The 20,318-nt window shown below is 38.6% G+C and overlaps 2 long non-coding RNA genes across 5 annotated transcripts in view; one reads left to right on the top strand and one right to left on the bottom strand.

Moving 5' to 3' along the window:
* Positions 1-20,318, top strand: part of TMEM26-AS1 (TMEM26 antisense RNA 1) — a 40,795-nt gene that overhangs the window by 11,832 nt on the left and 8,645 nt on the right. Inside the window, exons 2-5 of one of the 3 annotated variants that reach the window (NR_120643.1) lie at positions 3,028-3,122; positions 17,370-17,480; positions 18,320-18,355; positions 19,362-19,575. This is a non-coding gene — a long non-coding RNA (TMEM26 antisense RNA 1). The other 2 variants (NR_120645.1, NR_120644.1) reach the window with 2 other exon arrangements.
* LOC124902548 (uncharacterized) lies at positions 12,676-15,303 on the bottom strand. 2 transcript variants are annotated; one of them, XR_007062376.1, is made up of 3 exons: positions 15,230-15,303; positions 14,784-14,812; positions 13,544-13,568 (listed from the first exon to the last, which is right to left on the bottom strand). It is a non-coding gene; the product is annotated as an uncharacterized LOC124902548 (long non-coding RNA). The 2 variants fall into 2 exon arrangements; XR_007062375.1 differs by lacking the exons at positions 13,544-13,568; positions 15,230-15,303 and adding an exon at positions 12,676-12,936 and having other exon boundaries at positions 14,784-14,992.

Raw genomic sequence — 20,318 nt, forward strand, 5'->3', positions numbered from 1 at the left:
TGGCCTCAAGCGATCCTCCCAGCTCAGCCTCCCAAACTGCTGGGATCATAGGCGTGAGCTTCCAATCCCAGTCTAAACCCTTAACATGCTCAGTGGGAAAGAAGCATCTCCTTGGTGGATTGGATTTCAGATGCCTGTCAGGGAAGTGGGAAGGAAGACTAGCAGCATGTGTGCTACTGAGTTTCCATCTCTGATTTAACCAAAGGAGTGTGTCATCAAAAGATGTTTCCTAAGGTTTAGGAATTTTCCATTCAAGATAAACCTACATAGCAGCAAATGCATGTGTATATTATACAGTATTAGTACAAAACTCAATCACATGATAGTGCTTTCTATCTTTACAGGAACTTTTACACGTGCCATGTCATGAAATGCTAAAATGACTCCATGAAATAGAAACAGGATATATTTTTATCCCCATTTTACAAATGAGGAACTGAATTTTGGAGCAAATAAGCGATTCACCCGAGGTCATGCAGCCAGTATGTTAGAGAATTTAGGAAATATTTCATAGTCACTTGGATATTTTGTAATCACTCAAATTTCTGACACAAATTAAGAGTCAGAAAACTGTGGGAAGTATGGCTGAGATTTTCTGATTCCCACATTCTGCAACAATAAAATATAAACATGACTAACCAGGATACATTTACAATACACATGACTAAGTGACAACACGTGGGAGATAACTGGCTTTTGAAATGCATGTCTGTATTAATCAGAGTTCTCCAGAGAAACAGAATTAATAGGGTTCTACAAACCTGCAGAGCCTATATCCCAGCTTGAAACTGAAGGCTGTAAGGCTGCTGTAGTACCAGAAAGAGCCACTGTCTCAGAGTTCAAAGGCCATCAGGCAAAGGAAAAAAGAACACACACAAAAAAATAAAAAAAATAAAGTTGATATTTCAGTTCAAAGGCTGTCAGGCAAGATAAATCTCTTACTTGGAGGAAGGTCACCCTTTTGTTCTACATAGGTCTTTAACTGGTTTGGTAAAACCTACCCACATTATGGAGGGCTGTCTTTTATTCAGTCTACCAATCCAAATATTAATCTCATTCGAAAACACCCTCACAGAAATACCCAGTTTAACCAAATATCTGGGAATCTCATGGTCCAATCAAGTTGACACAAAATTAACCATCATAAGCCCACCCTTGTCAACTTGGCACTGTACATGTCTCTGTAAAACACATATAATGTCCAAATAAGGGTAATAACAAGATCATACTTCCACCACATTATACAGCTATCCTGCATACAAGCATAACTGCACTAACCCTTTCCCCAGAAGAGGATGCAAACTCCTTGCATGATGGACTCTTCTCCTTAATGTCTCATAACTTAAGTAAGTATGTGGGAAGAATGTTATGAAGTAAATTGTGTCTTCCCTCCGCCATCGGTATATTGAAGCCTTATCCCACAACTTGACTGTATTTGGAGACAGGGCTTTTAGTAGGGTAATTAGTTTGAAATGAGGTCATAAGGGTGAAGCCCTAATCCAATCAGACTGTTTTCATAGAAAGAGGAAGAGACACTAGAGGTCTCTCTCTCCTTGCTCACATAGAGGAAAGGCCATGCAGGTCCACCGCAAGAAGGCAGCCCTCTGCAAGCAAGGACAAGAGGCCTTACCAGAAACCTACCCTGCTGGCTCTTGATCTTGGGGCTTCCAGCCTCCAGAACTGTAAGAAAATAAATGTCTATTTTTTAAGCCACCCAGTCTGTGGTACCTTGTTATGGCAGCCTGAGTTGTGTAATACAATGACTAAAGCCCTAGCTGGGTTATTTCTCACTATCACAGAAGAGGAAATTTATTTAAAATATATCAGTCCAATTATTGTGTGCATGTTCTAAACCTTTCTGTTTAATTTCCAGGCTGGACAGAGGCCTTAAATGGGGCTCTTTTTAAAAAGAAATCAGAAGACATATGTTCTTGGGTATTTTGAGGGCTGGATTATAAATTCCTTTATGTCTTAGGGGAAGATTTCATCATGCTCTTTTAAAAGCTGCATGACGAACCTATCAATAGCAGGGAGATGTCTGGAACAGAGAATACATAATCAACAAATTTTCACTGAGTGTCTACCATATGCTGAATCTCGGAGATACAATAGGGGTAAAGGCATATGCTGTCCTTCCCTTTAGGTAGTATTCTAGTGAGGGACCTAGGTTGTGAGATAGGGATTGGGTATTGATTCATCTGAACGTTTAAGGTTGTTATAATAAAAAAATTGACTTTTAAAAGCTCATTTGGAGATTCTAGTAGAAAGCACAGCTACACATGTAGCCTTAACCTGGAAGAAGATACTGCTCCCTGACTAGCAAAAGTGTTCCCTTTTTCATTTGTCACCTTTGGCTGTAAGCAGGAGTAGCAGATACCATGGCCTGGTTATACTACCATCTCAACATCAAGCTACCAGTTGGGTTATAGAAGATTTGGTTTAGGTCCAGTGGATTTGCAATCAATGAAGAGCTAAACTAGAGTTACAAAGACAGTGTCTGGTGTGTGTGTGTGTGTATGTGTGTGTTTTAATTTATACTACACAACCAACTTTCAGAACCCTAATTTGCTGCAAGGCCCCTATGTTTGTAACAAGGTGGTTTTCATTCTTTCAGTAACACTGTTTTTTGTTTTTACCTAGTTGAAGAGACCTCTTGAAATATTTTCAAGTGTTATATAATATTTTCATGTGTGTTAATACAACACCTTTATGCTGTAAGTCCAAAAGAAAAGTCAAACAAAGGGTCGTCTGTAGCAACACTAAGGTGTTTCCATTTTTCACTGCTCTGCATTCACAGAGTTTGGAGATGACCTATGAAGCTATAAATAAAAGCAATACGATTTTTCTGTAAAACAATTTCTAAACTTTTCAAAACGTGCAATGTTAGATTCATGTAATAGATTGTTACAGGCTTTCCTTGGGGAAGCTACAGGCTTTTTTCCCTTTTACGAATCAAAAGTTGATAATGCAGAAATATTGCACAAATATCATGACAATATCTTTTCTTTTCTTTTTATTGAACAATAGTTGTGATTTGAAGAGTAACCTTCTTCAGAAAACTGTGGAGACTTCACAGAAATGGCAGAAGCTAGTTGAAGTCTACAAATTACCTAATGGAACAGGTAAGCTTTATGCCTTTAAAATTTTATATATATATATATTTTATATTTTCTTTGAAGTCTCTGGTACAGAACTTTTCAGCTCGTAATATTTTGTATTGAGCATGAAATTGACTGCTGTTCTCACTGCTTCGTCTTTTCAAAGCCCGCAATGTAGGAAAAAAAAAAATCGATTTTTTTTTACAAGCCCCAAATCCAAGAACCATACCAATGCTGCCTTTCTTTCCCACAGAGCCGTTAAAAAATATATATCAACATGGCTTCTACCATATTACTAAATTCTATCAAGTTGGTACCCTTCTAACAACAGTAACAACAGCAGATTCCCAAAGTCGTAAGGAGTGAGGAATGGTGAATGGAAACAGTAGGGAGGGAGTTACGGAACAGTGTTACTTTTTTTTTTTTTTTTTTTTTTTTTTTTGAGACGGAGTCTCACTCTGTCTCCCAGCCTGGAGCGCAGTGGCGCAATCTCGGCTCACTGCAACCTTCACCTCCCAGGTTCAAGTGATTCTACAGCCTCAGCCTCCCGAATAGAGTAGCTGGGATGACAGCCACGTGTCACCACGTCTGGCTAATTTTTGTGTTTTTCGTAGAGACGGGGTTTCATCATGTTGGCCAGGCTGGTCGCAAATCCCTGACCTCAGGCGATCCGCCGCCTCAGCCTACCAAAGTGCTGGGATTACAGGTGTGAGCCACCGCGCCCAGCCCAGTGTTACTTTTTAAGACAGATTCAAGAAGCTTTAAAACTGAGTTGACAATTTAGTCACAGGTAAAAATATACTGCATGCAATTAGCTAAAAATTTCTTACAGTAAATGAAAGTCTTGGTATGGCAGACACTGCAAACCTACCAAGGCACATTGAGTTATGAATTGAGGTTTGGACATTCTAGCATGGACAGCTCCCTTCCCCCACACTTCAAACTTCAAACTCGTCTACCTCCTGCCTCCCACACACAGACTCCCAGTCCCACCCTAAATTGACCTATTGAAACTTGCTCTGTTGCCCTCAAAGAGTAAGAGGCTATTTATTCTTCCCTAAACATCCGACTCCTGCACATTCCAAACTAATAGACACAGCCATGCCCCAGGTTTCTGTAGGATCCATAAACCTCACACGCAATTCAGGAGCCTGAATTCCACACGCAACAGAAATTTAGACCAATGAGGGACAAAGTTAAAAGTTCCTTCTGGAGGAAGGCTGAAGAAGAGAAATCAATCACTTACGAAAACTGATGAATGATTCTGGCTCTCAGGCGAGGGAAGAGGGGTCCTGTGCACTCTGTGGGGCTGTTTGTAACCCTCCAGAGTCACCTGCATGCTTTGGGATAATAGTAAAACTAGCTATCACTAGGAAACCGGGCCACTACGCCATGGGACATCGGCCTTAAGAGTGGGATGTGGGCCGGGCACAGTGGCTCACGCCTGTAATCCCAGCAGATGGGTTACCTGAGGTCAGGAGTTCGAGACCAGCCTGGCCAAGATGGTGAAACTCTGTCTCTACTGAAAGTACAAAAATTAGCCAGAGTCGGTGGCGCACCTTTAGTCCCAGCTACTCGGGAAGCTGAAACAAGAGAATCGCTTGAATCCGGGAGCAGAGGTTGCAGTGAGCCAAGATCGCACCACTGCACTCCAGCCTGGGCGACAAGAGTGAAACTCCGTCTTAAACAACAACAAAAAAAGAGTGAGATGTGAGAAGGGAAAAGCGTTTTCCTACTGTCCTACGGAAGAAAACCAAACAGTCAAAGGCAAGGAGCCACGGAGCTCTAACCATCAATGGCAGATCCACACACCAGGTGAGCAGCTTGAGCAAGAGCTGGGAATCAGCAGCCCGAGCACTTCCAGAGATGATTACCCCAGAATCCACGGTCAGGGCACTTCCGGAGTCCACAGTCAGAACACTTCCGGAGGTGGTCACCTTGGATCTGTGGTCAGGACATTTACAGAGGTGATCACCTGGGTCTGTGGTCAGGGCACTTCTGGAGATGGTCTCTCTGGATCTGTGGTCAGGACATTTACAGAGGTGATCACCTGGGTCTGTGGTCAGAGCACTTCTGGAGATGGTCTCTCTGGATCTGTGGTCAGAACATTTTCTGAGGTGATCACCCCGGAATCCACGGTCAGGGGCACTGATGGAGACGGTCATCCATAGGATGGTCAGTGACCCTAAAACAAGACAGAGAGTTAGTTATATGGGGACAAACATCCGCCCTCATAGACTTTGAAAAAAGACTCTGGGTGAGTTTATCCAGGAGCCGTGAGCTGGAGGGGCCTGCAAACCTTCAGGTTACTTTTTCTTAAAGCACCATTGATCAAGGCTTTTTCATGGTTAGAGAGCAAACCAAGGCTACGTGTCACAAATGTAATTTAGGTCCTCTACTGAAAGCTTAATGGACCATTTGCCCCCTCTATCTTGTGTGCTTTATTCCTTTTTAATCAAGAAAATTAATTTTTTTAATTAAATGTTTTTAAATTCTGCACTCCTATTCATATGTTGTCCTACTGAGTTATTTCTTGTGCCATGAGGTCAGAACCCACAGGAATAGTTGAATTTTGGGAATAGAATTTGAGGAGAAGGACCAGAGGGCTGAGGACTGAGCCTTTGGAGATGCTCACAGGCAATGGACAGCACCTAGAAGAAGGAAGAATTCAGTGCCAGTTGGCTCATGCAAAGGTCAACCAGCCCAGAAGTCTATATTAACTGATACCCTAAAACCTCGATTCTTATTTTTACTTGAAATATAGAACAAAGTTGACTTATACATACATATACACATGAATATGTAAATACACATGAATGAGGAATCTCTCTCTCCACACATACACAGGCCATTCTAAAGTCGTTTTCAGAATGTCTTATTATTGAATGAAAAAAAAACCTGAAGTATGTATGTTACTTTTCTAGTTATCTAAGAAAGAAGGGTATAAATATTAGGTTGGTGCAAAAGTAATTGTGGTTTTTGCCATTATTTGCACCAGCCTAACAGATTCATTGTTTTTTTAATAGCTGAAGAGTACACCATTGTGTGGACGTACCATAATTTATTCAGCTAGGCCCCTTTTGGTGGGCATTTGAATTGTTCTTAGTAGTTTGCTGTTACAAAGCACTGGCTTACAGTGAATTGCCTTGTCCACATATCTTTTCTTGCTTTTTCCAGTGAATCATTGGGATAATTTTTTTAAAGTAAGATTGGCAATAGTGTAAATGAGTATGTGATTTTTCTAAATATTGCCAAATTCCTTTTCCTATAGGTCGTACTATTCATTTTGTATTTCTACCAGCAATATATAAGAATGGCTGTTTCCCACCCCATCACTAGTGTCATCCACAGAGTGTGCACTGACATTGGCATTTTGCCAACCTAATGATGAGAAATGCTATCTCAGTATAGTTTAATTTCACTTCTCCTTTTGTAATTGATTGAGCATTTTTACATTTATATTTCCCTATAGAAAATATAAAATTTAACTCTTAAAAATTCAGCTTACCTGATATCAACATTATCAAAATATATCAAACTTCCTGTGTAAACCTAGAGCGAATGGCTATTTTTGTGTCCTAGCTACAGACAGCAAAATATGGAATCCTTCCCCACTCTTTGTAGCAATGACCCTTTAAGTCCTAGGTTGTCTCAACTTCATGATATCCATACCACACAAGGGAATGAATTTTTCCCCTAATGATTATATAGGTTACATTTTTCCAAATGATATCTTCTTCAGTTCCCTCCCAATGTATTCCATTTCTTAACTCAATAACACACATTTACTGAGTTTCTACTATGTACCTGAACAACATAGATCCCATAGTAACCAATCAGAGCCAGTCTTTCTCTGGGCTGCTGGCACCATCAACGCATTGCAAAATTCCAGAAATTTCTGGCCACTCACAGTTCCCAAGCCCCTAATAAAACTATTTTAATTCTATGTGTTTCCTCTACCCAATATCAACATTTTGCATAATTGGGATGCGGAAAAACTCTCCACTCTGGAGGAGGCTTTGAGTTTAGAAAAGAAAGCAGGGTGGAAGAGAAGTTGTTCTTCAACAAAACAAGATTAACTAAAAAAACAAGAGTCCTGAGGAGTCCTGGGCTTTGCGGTCAATGTGATTTATCATTCAGGGCTCTGACTAAGACACAAGAGTTGAGTAGCAGGCAACTTTTGAAGCTCTACAACTTACTGAATTTTAGTCTCTTCATTAAAGTATAATCTGAATTTTATTCTCTTCATCCAAGTATAATTCTTTCATTTACAATGAGTCCAAGAGAAAAGATACATTAAAATATTTAAGATTATTAAGTAGATACTAAATATTATAAAGTCTTGACCAAAAAAAGTGCTTCTCTTGAATAAACAATAGCAAATGACTCAAATGACAGAGATGATTTGTGAAAGTGCTAATAGTTAGACTGTATTTCAGAGCTGACTAAACTTGTTTTTTCTTATAGCCCCCCCATCCATGCCATTAGCAAATTCTACTTTCAAAATATATCTTCAATTCTAAGCATTCTCATTATCCCACTGTTATCCCTCTAATTCAGGCCTCACCTAGTCTATAACCACAGCCTCCTAACTGGCCTCTCTACTTATGAGCTTATCCGTACTTCAGCCTTCAGTTATACCTCAATTATCCATACAGCAACCAGAGTGATGATTTAAAATTGTGACACAGCTCCTGCCACTGATCCTTCACGCCCTCTATTGGTTCACAATCACACCCGTTTAAATCCAAATCCCTTTCATGGCCTGAAAGCCTCCACTTGATCATGATCCAGCCCCTCACCTCCTCTCTGACCTGGCCTCCTCTCACTTTCTGTCTTGCTCATTCTGCATGGCCAGAAGTCTTCTCACACTTCCTGATAAAATCCAGACATGATCCTGGATCAAGGCCTTAGCACTTCCTCTTCCTCTGCTTGGAACTCTTGGCTCATAACTCCCTGTGACTTCCTTCAAGGCTCTGCTCAAACACTTAATTAGCGAGGACTTCCCTGACTAAAATGGCACTTCAGTCACTCTCTGCTTACCCTGATTTATTTTTCTTCATAATATAATTTTCAATACGTGGCACACTTTATACTTATTTGTTTATCGTCTGTCTCCTCCTACAAGAATGTAAACTCCACCAGAGGAGAGACTTTGTTTTGTTCACAGATGGATCTGCAGGGCTTAGAATTGTGAACGAAGAGTTATTACAGTGGCCTGTTCCCAGGAGAGGCATGTGAAATAAAATTATGAAGTGGGATATTGCTTTATCGACAGCTGTTTGGACTGTAAATACTCCTTGTCACCATCAGGTTACAAAGTCTCTCGTAACAAAGATAGGGAGGTAGGTTGGAGAGGGGTAGGGACAAAAAAAAAGAAGAGGAGTTAGGGTGTTCCTAATATGGCCCAAGGGAGAAATAATGGTGGTTTGCATAAGGGTATGGCGGCCCAGATGGAGAGAACCAACAGGGCTTGGTAATGGTTTGAATGTGGGAAATGAAAGAAAAAAAAGAAAAGAATAAAAATGGTCCTTGATAATTTTTTTTCGCACGAACAGTTGAGTGTATACTGGTGCCTTCTGCTGAGATGGAGAAGGGTGAAGAAAGAATGAGATGTGTGTGTTTATTTGGAGAATGGGGATTGGTAATAGTAGAAGTTGTGCCAACCCCCCACTTCCACAAACAATGTGCACACACAAGCACACACCCATCTATTTCCCACACTTCTCTGCTCTGCTTTATGGCCAGGGTGTGCTCTTGTCGTCTGATTTCAAATGGCATAAGGCAATATGAGGTACCAGCAAGAGGCTGAATAAGAAACAAGTAGGAGAATTTATTCCTTTAGACCCTCCCTGTCTCACTCCAGTTCTGCCAGTCACTGCATTCTGGGATTGCTACTTCAATTGGATGGACCTTGTTCTATGGCTTCAGGCTTTCCCTGGGTTCCTTTTGCTTGTCCCTACAGGATTAAAGAAGATAACAGCTTTCCAATGTTGCTAATCCCTGGATGCCTTAACACCTTGTATTGGCTTCTATAGTTCTGCCCACACCTTGGCAAACTGTACTTCATTAAACTTTCTTTTTTTTTTTCATTGCCCAGGCTGGAGTACAGTGGCATGATCTCAGCTCTCTGCAACCTCCATCTTCCAGGTTCGAGCAATTCTCCTCCTGCAGCCTCCCCAGTACCTGAGATTACAGGCACGCACCACCATGCCTGGCTAATTTTTGTATTTTTAGTAGAGACAGGTTTTTGCCATGTTGGCTAGGCTGGTCTCAAACTCCTGACTTCAAGTGATCTGCTTGCCTCGGCCTCTAAAAGTGCTGGGATTACAGGCATGAGCAACGACTCCTGGCTGTCATTAAACTTTCTATTAAAACTTTTGAGTACGCCAGCTGTCCCATGCTGAGACCCTGATTGTGACAAAAGCCAAGTTCATGTTGATCTGCCTATTAGACATCCAAGTGAAGATATACATAGGCAAGCAGAAATGAGTTGGGAGAGACTCTAAGGCTGGGAAAGTCTGGGATACAGAAAGTGTAAGAGTCTTTAGCAAATAAACTGGGAGTGGAGGTGTGCACCTCCAGTCCCAGCTACAAGGGAAGCTGAGGTGGGAAGATCGCCTGAGCCCGGAAGTTAGAGGCTGCAGTGAGCTGTGATCACGCCACTGCACTCCAGCCTGGGTGACAGACCAAGACCGTCTCAAAAAATAAAAAGGCTTTTTACCATATAGGTGCAGAAGGAAATAGTTATGACCTTTTGCTCTCCAGGAAAGCAACTGTCTCATCTGCAGACCAGGCTACCTTGTTGAATGGTAAGATGGGAATCTTATTAGATTCAAGGAAGACCTGGGCTACTTCATCCTCACATTCAGAAAGCCTGACATTCAGTACTAAAACCTGAAATAGTTACCCTCCTTCCTTTAAGAGTCTAGCAAGACTAATTCTCCCATGCCTCACACCACTGTTTACCTTGGTTAATAACAGAGGCCCAAACCTCCCAGGCATCCATTTGTCTGGGGACTCTCATTTTCTTACAGTTGTGTATATCCCTATCATATGACTTGATACTTCCCTCCCTTTCAAAATTTACTTTCAAGCAGTTTTAGATTCTAAATGATAAATTACTTACTCTATGACCATAATGAACTTTTCAAAAAATGGTTAACAGTTAGCCAAGAGGAGAACAAAATTAATTCACTTCAGCCATTTATTCACAATTACAATAGCCACAATGCACTTCATCACTGAACAAACTCTGTGATAGACATTTGGCCACGGGGACAAGGAGCCAGATTAGACTGATCAATTTTTTACTGTTTTGGGTTTGCCCTAACATACATGGCCATAAACAGTAAATTGGAGCTATAAATACTTCCAGCTAAGTTTAATTAGTTCTCCGTACAAAATCCCAGGTTATAATAACTGTGGTGATAACTCTGGACAAAAATTTTAAAATTCCATAGGAAGTTTGTTTTAAAAATTGATCTAGAATATGCTTTGAGAGAAAAAAGAGAGAGAAAAAAAGAAATCGAATAAAGGAGCAAGAAATCAGAGTATGAAAAGATTAGTTACTCTGTAAAAAGCCAATATGATTGTCGAGGTATTAAAATCCCTGTAGGAGATTTACAGAGAAGTCTGCCCTGGATTAGAATTTCATATCAAATAAGTTAACTGAAGTCATACAATTTCTGTGCCATTTGTAGTTGAGTTAATAGCATATGTTCCTGGAGGATTACAGCCAATGATTAAGGAAATTAGGTTTTGTTTGAATTTAATTTAGTTATATAAAACTGCTACTATAATTTACAGCTTTGATATTTAATATTTAATAACCCAGATCTTAGAAGAATACTAGATATAGCTGTGTCATTATGCCTTGAAATATTATTCCCATAAGTCATTTATATTTGCTGGCTGATAAGGATGTTCATCAACTAGATGGACTCAACATGAGTCCACTGATAAAGCCAATGCAGTTTTACAGTTTGCTGAGTCCCTTGTATGTTTCCACTCCATTTCCCGCACCCGTAACTTATGGAATCATAAATTATCTGGCTGGTCAATTGTCATAATAAAGAAACATTACAGCCTTTTCTTCAACAGCCAGCTGTGGGAATGACTCAGCTCTGCCTTCCTCTCACATTTTATGTATCTGTGGCATTTAGTCATTAAAAATCATAGGAATTTCTCCGTAAATATTGCCCCATCAATATTTTTTCTTGTTTTCTTTTTGTTGTGTTGCTTCTTTTTTCCCTATTCATCTCTTTGACTTTTTATTTCTTTTTTCCCATCATTTTTCTGAGGAAAAAATGATAAAATAGTAATGACTGCAATTTTTCTTTCCTAAATATATGTATATATGTATGTAGACATTTTAAGTTTTCTTTTTCTCTGATTTATAAAAATTAATCCTGATTTCTGATTTCATAGATTGACATTTGTTTCCAAACATTCCTATTTTTTCTCCTCATATAAGAATGTTTAAACTATTTAAACTCCTTTTATCTTTTAGTGTTTCTGACTTAAACTTTTTATCTCCTTTATTCACATGTCTTATTGCTTTTACAGCTACTAGAAATCCTTCCATCACAGCTATTCTGTCTAGTTTTATTCCTCTCACTTGCCTTTACTTCCTAGTTTAGGCTTCCTTCAAAGACAGGTCAAGTCAGCCCTTACATATCAATTTAAAAAAAAGACAGAAAATTTAAGAACAAAAAAATGGCGAGTTCATAAGCTACAATTTCGAATCCCAAAGATTGTAGAGTCTATACAGAGGGTTTATGTGAGAATGTCCATTTTTAAAATTTTTTTTTATACTTAGATAGATATGGATATAGACGTCAAATATTAAACGTTGACCACTACTTAAATATGCAAGTTGAATACTCGAAGATTGTTTGAAGAGAAGGAAGAGATTCATTAATACATTCTAAGAAGCAAGTTTCCTTTGTGCTTTACTACCCACTTTCCAACTTGGATTCCAACTTGGAGAACATTTTGTAATAATAACAATAATAAATGTTAATAAAATGTTAAATGTTAATAACAAAATGTTATTACTAATATTATTTTTTTTAAAGTATAGTGATGTGCCTAGGTGGCAATCTTGGCTTCACTATTTTATAGCTGTGTGATTGAATAATTTACTTAACCTCTCTGTGCCTCAGTTTTCAAATCTGTAAAATGGGGATAACAATAGTACTTTGTTGACAAAGTTCTTATGTTAATTTATGTAAAATGCTTAGAATGATGCCTCATACACAGTAAAGTCTCAATAATTGTTCCATATTGTTTTCTATATTATTATTTTTCTTACTGTGAAATAAAGACCAATTAGAAGGAAATAGCAGACGAATGTAAAGACTAGGAAGCAAACAACCACCATGGCAGTAACTGGAAAGTATTTACAAAATCTGTATTTTTTGGCATGTATGTTGCATAATTTTGGAGGTAAAAATTCTTTGGTATTCTTTGGAGTAGCCACAACACATATTGAAGTGACCAGTACCGTATCAACAATCACTAGTTCAAAAGTTACCCATGCGAGTAGTTGAAAGAAAAGTCTACATCAAACATATTTGAGAAGCAAAGTCCTTTTATTATCTGAATATAATGAGCTGCTTCGAATCATGTAAAGCCTGAAGCTCTGGTGGATATTAAAAATTCCATCTCAAAAACTAGAGAAACAATATGGTTGCACTAATCTAAAAAAAACTCGAGCCATAAAGCAGCATCCAGAACTGGATAAAGATATTTCATATCCAAAAATAGAATCTCCTAATTTATTTGAAGAGAATTTCACTGAGTGCAGGCTGTATAGAAGACACCAACATCCACCCTGTGAGGAAGTTAAAAACAGAACACTGTGTAACAGAAGCAATGGTAATCCTTAATATTGAATACAAATGAAAGGAAGGAGAGAATTTACTATGTTTCAATGAATCATAAAATAAACCAGAACACACCAAGAAAGAGAAAAAAAAATTCAAAATGTCCGAGAAGAGAAACAAGATCTATTTCCTGTACTGTGTTTTCATTTATTCACAAACCAGATACCATGCAATATATACTGGAAAGGGGTAAAAATGTACATAATGACTAATACCAAATAAAACATCTTCCACTAAAGGAAATACAAGGAGAATCTGCAGGACATAGACATACAGCAGCAGGGACAATAAGAAATGTGGATTTATGCCAGGTACAGTGGCTCATACCTACAATCCTAGCACTTTGGGAGGCCAAGAGGGGAGGGTCAGTTGAGCCCAGGAGTTTGAGACCAGCCTGAGCAGCATCATAGCAAGACCCCATCTCTACAAAATTTTAAAATTAGCTTGGCATGGTGGCACACACCTGTAGTCCCAGCCACTCAGGAGGCTAAGGTGGGAAGATCACTTGAGCGTAGAGTTTGAGGCTGCAGTGAGCTATGATGACACCATTGCACTCCGGTCTGGGTGACAACGTGAGATCCTGTCTCAAGAAACAAGGAAGGAAGGAAGGAAGGGAGGAAGGAAGGAAGGAAGGGAGGGAGGGAGGGAGGGAGGGAGGGAGGGAGGCAGGGAGAGGCAGGCTGAAGTGGCTAATGACGGGCATTCCTGGGAACAGATTGCTTGTAATAAGATATAAAGCAATAGAAGCATAGCCAAATTCAGGTCTATTACAAAGCTATTTTCAATTACCTAAAACATTTAAAATACCCAGATAGTTATAATGACTTAGGAATACCAGTATTTGAGGGTGAGAAAATTTGAGTGTATGTCACATCTTTGCCATTTACTAGCTCCATGATCTTAAGAAATCATTAAACTTGCTGAACTCATTCTTTCCATAAGGAAAATAGAGACAATAGTATTTACATAGTATATCTTATAAGGGTTTAATAATAGTTCAATTAAATGATACTTTGAAACATGAAACACTAACTGGAATGTAAACCGTTAATGGAATTCAGCTCTTCTTAAATTTCCAATGGTGAAAATGTTACTATTTTATCATATTATTTATGAACACCTCTAATTGTTAAGGATAAATCACTGTTCAATATACGAAAAAAAATCTAACTCTCACACTGGTCCCAGCTATAGCCTCCGGTACATCATAGAATTAAATTTATCTGCCAACCAATGCTATTTTTAAAATATTTAATGATAGCCACCGTAATACCCTTTTTACCTCTGTATATTAGAGAAGTTCAAAGGTTGATTAATTTACTGGTGTAATGACATCAGAGCTCTGATTGTACCTAGTTCCTTTATTTACTCAAAATACAGTGCAGTTGCTAGGTCTTGGAAATCCTCGTCATTTTTTCTCTAGATTCTCTTGAGTTTGTTAATATTTTTCTTAAAAGCTGCTGCCTGCACCTGTGACATACTCTTGCTTACCCAGGACATATGCATCACCACCCTATTTATCTCTTCTCTTTGCCAACAGAAGCCTATTGTTTTCAGATACTGGGGAGTATTATGTTTAAGAAAGGCAGCCCTGTCCCTGGACCCAAGAGGTGAACGTTGATTAGTTGAAAGCAATCACAACAAGTCTATTACTCTGCCACTGCCATGGCCACAAGATGGAGTCTTGACCTCTGAGATACAAAAGGAAGTCTTCTGGCAGGGTTTGTAGAAATGTTCTTACTCTTTATAAGACCCCAAACCTGGATTCACTCATTCCTGCCACTGGAATACTTACTTGTAATGTTTGGAAGGGCTGCAGACAACCTGAAATGATGTTAGGAGGAAATAAGATTAATGCAGAACTACCAATCCAGAGCCCCTTCATCATTAAGCCTCTGAATTAACAAAATATTAACTTTTCCTTTTTCCAGACATTTTTATGTGAGACAATAGATTTTAGTTATTGTTTTATCCCTATTTAGATGTGTAGAAGAGTCTGCTGATGCACCAACACATCTTCTTTGCCATCCTGAAATGATCTGCTGCTGCAATAGTTTCTAGCACTCTGACAGTTTTCCACCTCAAGCACCTGCACCTCTTCTTCTCTTCCTGAAGTTGCAATGCCGAAGTGGAGGAGAAGTTTAAGCCACTTCCCCCTTATCCCCAATCAATAAAGAAGGAGATTTGGTGGAGTTGGAGGGTTCAGCCTTCCCACACCTGGGAGTGAGTTCAGAAACTCACTCATTTCTGAAGTGAGTTTTCTCAGAGGATTCCAAAGGAGTCCCAGTTGCCTACAGTAGAAACTTCATATTAATATGCCATTTACTGGCTCTTTTAGCTTCCTTTTTTTACTTTTATTTTTCCTAAAAACGTGCTCTACTTGACCTTGGGGTCACCTCCTAAATAAATTACATAAGCCCAAAACCTTGTCTCAGGGTCTGCTTTTGAGGAGCCCAACTCAATATGAGTTGAGAATTCTATTACTTGCAGCTGAAAGCATTCTAATGCAAATCCGATAGAGCAGCACTGTTCAGTAGAACTTTCTGTGACAATGGAAATGTTCCATATCTGCAGTGGTCATCATGGAAGGTAGCCATGAGCCCCTTGTGGCTGCTAGAACACATGAAATGTGGCTAGTATGATTGAGGAACTGAATCTTTCCTTTCATTTTAATTAATTTAAATTTAAATGGCCACATGTGGCTAGTGGCTACCATATTGGACAGCACAGCTCTAGATGCATTTCAGTGAGTATAGAATGAATGAAACAATTACACCCTTGCCTTAGACATCAGAATTATATTCCACAACCATATAGTTTGCACAATAAAGAATTAGGCTAGGCCAGACTCTGTGAAGAATACAAAGATGAATAAAATAAACAGCTCCTGCCTTCCAAAACTCAAGTGTATTCAGGGAGGCATACATGCAAGTATATTCATACACGGGATACATGTTGCAAGAGTGGCATTTGGAAATAAGAGGATGTGGAAACAAAGCACATTTGGAAATAAGAGGATGCACAATTGATTTCTACTATGGGAATCTAAGAACTCTTCACTGAGGTAGCATTTGAGCTTCATCGTGAAAATGAATAGAATGTCTTTGGGGAGGGACCAAGGGAAAATTACATTTATAACAAAGAAAAGAGACACATGGAAGCAATATAAACAAGAGGCATGAGAGGGCAAGCAGTATGGTAAATCTGGGCTACAGACCAAGATGCTAGGTGAGGTCCAGAATATGCAGAGCTTTGAATTCCATGTGAGCACACTTAGATTTTTTTTTCTGTGAGCAGTAGTCATCAAAATATTTGAACTTTGGTGTTGATGATGGTATTGTCAATGACATAATTGGTTACAGATGGAAACAATTAGAGACATGGAAATCAGTTAGGAGTTTACAGCATTACCCCATATGAGAAATAATATCGATGTTATTTTTGCTTATAGCATCAAGAATAAAATGAGAAGGAGTTTCAAACCCATCTCATAGGTAGGCGTGGCAGGTCCTGACCATAAACTAAAAGTAGACTATGAGAAAGAGCTGGAGATGGCCCTGAAGAGAACATATGGGAGAAACAGGTTTGAGGGGGGAAAATAATGAGTCTATCAAGATGAAAGAGATGCTCAGGAGACATCTGGACATACAAATGTTGGGTTTGATGGTCAGCTTTGTCAAAAGATGCAGAGTTTAAGGAGGAAGAAGAATGAGAGGAAGCTCTTAAAGTTTACTCATAGCTCAAGGAGGATGAAAAGGTTTGGAAAAACCAAAGGGAAACAAAGGAATAGATTATGTATCTTTCTAAGAACCACATTATACTTTCCACTAATATTGAGCAAAAGATTGTTATTTGTTTCTGCTACAGTGTCTTGTTGATTTGAATGCATGATTCCCATCTACTGAGCTTCTGTTTATCTATTACTCATTGCACAGAAAAGTTACTGAATTTTTCTGATGGTTTTCTTTTGTATTTTTAGTCTAAGGAAGTTATTTAAAATATAAAATACTGAATAAAAGGGAAAGCTAATCATTTTCCTGGAAAAGTAAGCAAGACTGTAAAAATTGTGACATGGATGCTGTGGTGCACTGCCCATATTCCTATTCAAGATCAAGGCATTCATTCCCAGAGACTGAGAGCATTGGTTACTGACAGCTCGTAACTGAGTCTTTCTCCAGAAACTGCCCTTGGCCTTGCCCACTACACCTTTTTCTTGGCGGTAGCTTGTCCATTAACTGGTTGCTGTAGCTCTTTTGTTTAATTCCAGTCAATTCAGAAGAACAATTCTAGCCTCAGAGCTCCCTATGGAATCAGTCGCAACCCTCTGTTGCAACTCCATCACAGTTTAACTTCTCCCTTTGCATTCTCTCTTCTCTTACAGGTGTTATTCCCATGAGATTCCCAAATAAACTTCCTGCATGCAAATCTCCATCTCAGCATCTGTTTCCCTGAGGAGGAACCAACCTAAAATGAATTGCAAATTAAAATCTCAGTGGGTACTTTTTAACTTAACAAAACCATTTTAGACATAATTTAAAGCATCAGGATTCTTTTTACATTTGAAAAAGAAGATTAATGAGGATGACTTTTTTAACATTCTATTAATTTAATCAGCATGTCACTAGTACAATAATGAAGAGACAAATGAATAGATGAGAATAGATATCTTAGAAACAGATCCTACAATATACAAGAATGTATTATATTATCAAGGCCATTGACATCATAAATTATGATAAAGATTAATGGCATAACAAATCAAAGAGGAAGGGAAAGATTATTCAATAAATGATTCTGGGACAACAGGATGAAAAAATAAATTTAATCCTTATATTATATACTGAAATAAGTCCCAAATGGATTGAAAATATCATCATAGTTCAATTTTACTAATAATCAAAGAAGAAAATTTGGGCATCAATGAGATACTACCTTTTGCTTGTCATATTGTTGGAAAAGAGTATCTTCATATCTGTTGGTGGAATATAAATTGTTATAGCTTCTGAAGCACAATCTGCCACTCACTATGAAAATTTGAAGTGTGTATGTCTTTGATTACTTGATGAATATATATAATATTAATAATATATGTATATATAATAAATTTCACAAACCTTAAGAGTTTTTACAAATTTATATATTTATGTACATGTAAAAATAAATGTCAACATTTCTGTAACCATCACTCTGTGGGGCTCAGAAAATGATACCCTATAAGTATGGCACTTTGACATGCTGAGTACTGTGAACTGAAGAACACTGGAAGGGCCTCAAAAGCAAGTTCTCTCTGACCTTCTCTTGCTCTCCTGTCTCCCACTCCTTTCTCCACAGAAGTGAGTCAAAGCAACCAGAATTTCCCTTCCCAAGGTAAGTCATAGAAACTGGAAGCCCTCTCCCCCACAGCAAGTCCTAAAACCTACAAAAGTTACTCTCTCCCTTCTCTTTTGAATACCCTCATTCCAGAGGGGACCAGCCCCATACCCATGAGGAAAGGATGCTACACAGAGAAGCCAAGAAGAGTCTGCATGGATAGGCCTTACTGGCTTCCTCACCTGAGTGTATCACCATTAATTAGATGATACCTCTTTGTCCAATCACATTTCTACATGGCTGTCCCCAGTTTAAGGACAAAAACAGACAGTCTCCCCTTGAGTCTTTGAGTCTTCATTTTTGAAGGCTTCCATGTCACAAAAAAATCTTTGATTAAATAAATTGATGTTTTTCTCTTGTAAACTTGTATTTTGTTATAGGAGTATCAGCTGTGACCCTTATGATGGGTGAGGAAAGTTATCACACCCTTTCTGTCCCTACAACTCAAATGAAGATCTAAAACATTTTCAGCACTTCAGAAGTTTTCCTGGTGCCCTATCCTGGATAGTAACCTTCCCTACCCCCTACAAATAAGTGAATAAGACAGAGACCGTGTCCTAGCTTTCATGGAACTTATGACCTACTGAGGAATGCAAATTGTTTAGTTAAGTAAACAATTACACAAACGATTGTTTATTAATAATTGATATTACTATTACAATGGAAAACTCAAAGTATGAAAAGAGAAATGTAATTTAGTTTGGTGAAACTGAGAAAAGACAAATCTGAAGAAGTAATCTTTAATGCGAAGAATGAGTAGGAGTTAGTTAGGCAAAGAGAATAGGGAGGAAAGAGCATCCCGAGGAGAGGAAATAGTATGTGTCTTGAGTAGGAAAACAGCTTCAAGGAAATAAAAAATAAAAATACTGTTGGTAAGCAGAAAAGAGGTAATGCAGGAAACTGGAGGAACAGGCAGGAGCCAGTCCCTGCAGGGCCTTATAAACTGGTTAAGGATGTGTGTTTTAATCTAATTGTAATGGAAAACTACTCCATGGCTTGAAAGGAAAGTGCATTTTTAAATGATCATTGTGGACCACTGTGAAGATAATGCATTGTTGAGAAGACGGAATTGAAGTTGGAAGCCACTTTTAGGCTATTGTAAGAGATGATGATGACTTGGACCATAAAAGCGGCTTTGAAACAAAAATACACGGGAAATTAAAGATGCAGTTTGAAAGGTGCATCCACTGGATTCAATGACTGATGGGATGAGAAGGGTAAGTGTAAAGAAGATTGCAAATTCATATAAAAGAAAAGTTCTAAAGGATATACATCAAACTGCTAGTAGTTATCTCTGATTTGGGTTTGGGTGAGGAGGGGAGATGAAGACAGACTTTCACATTTTATTCTGTATAGTCCAAATGAAAATGGTGATGATAGTGGTGGTGGTGGCATTAGTAGTATTAGTACTAGTAGCGGTACTAATAATAATACTAGTAGTAGTAGTTTAGAGTTATTAAGTGATCTTGCATTATCATCTTTAATTTATTACATTGTTTAATAGAAATGACATAATTTAAAAGATCACTTATTTGATTTTATAAAGCAAAAAGTATCTGAGACTCCTCTCTCTCAATCAGTTTAGAAGTTTGTTTTGCCAAGTTTAAGGATGGGCCCATGAACAGCTTCAGAAGGTCCTGAGAAGGTTGGGTCACAGCTTGATTTTATACATTTTAGGTGGGCAGAAGTTACAGACAACTATCAATCAATACATGTTGGTGTATATTGGTTCAGCCTGGAGGGGCAGGACATCTCAAAGCAGGGGTGGGAGGGAAGGGGGTGTTCCAGTTCATAGATGGATTCAAAGATTTCCTGACTGGCAAATCTTTGAAAGAGTTGTTTTGCCTGAAGAGTTGAAATCAGCAGAAAGAAATTCCTGGAGTTAAGATAAGGGGGTTTGTGGAAGCCAAGGTTCTTATTATGTAGATGAAACCTCCAGCTATTGGGCTTCAGAGACATA

This window comes from Homo sapiens, chromosome 10 (genome assembly GCF_000001405.40).
Source record: "Homo sapiens chromosome 10, GRCh38.p14 Primary Assembly".
NCBI lineage: Eukaryota > Metazoa > Chordata > Mammalia > Primates > Hominidae > Homo > Homo sapiens.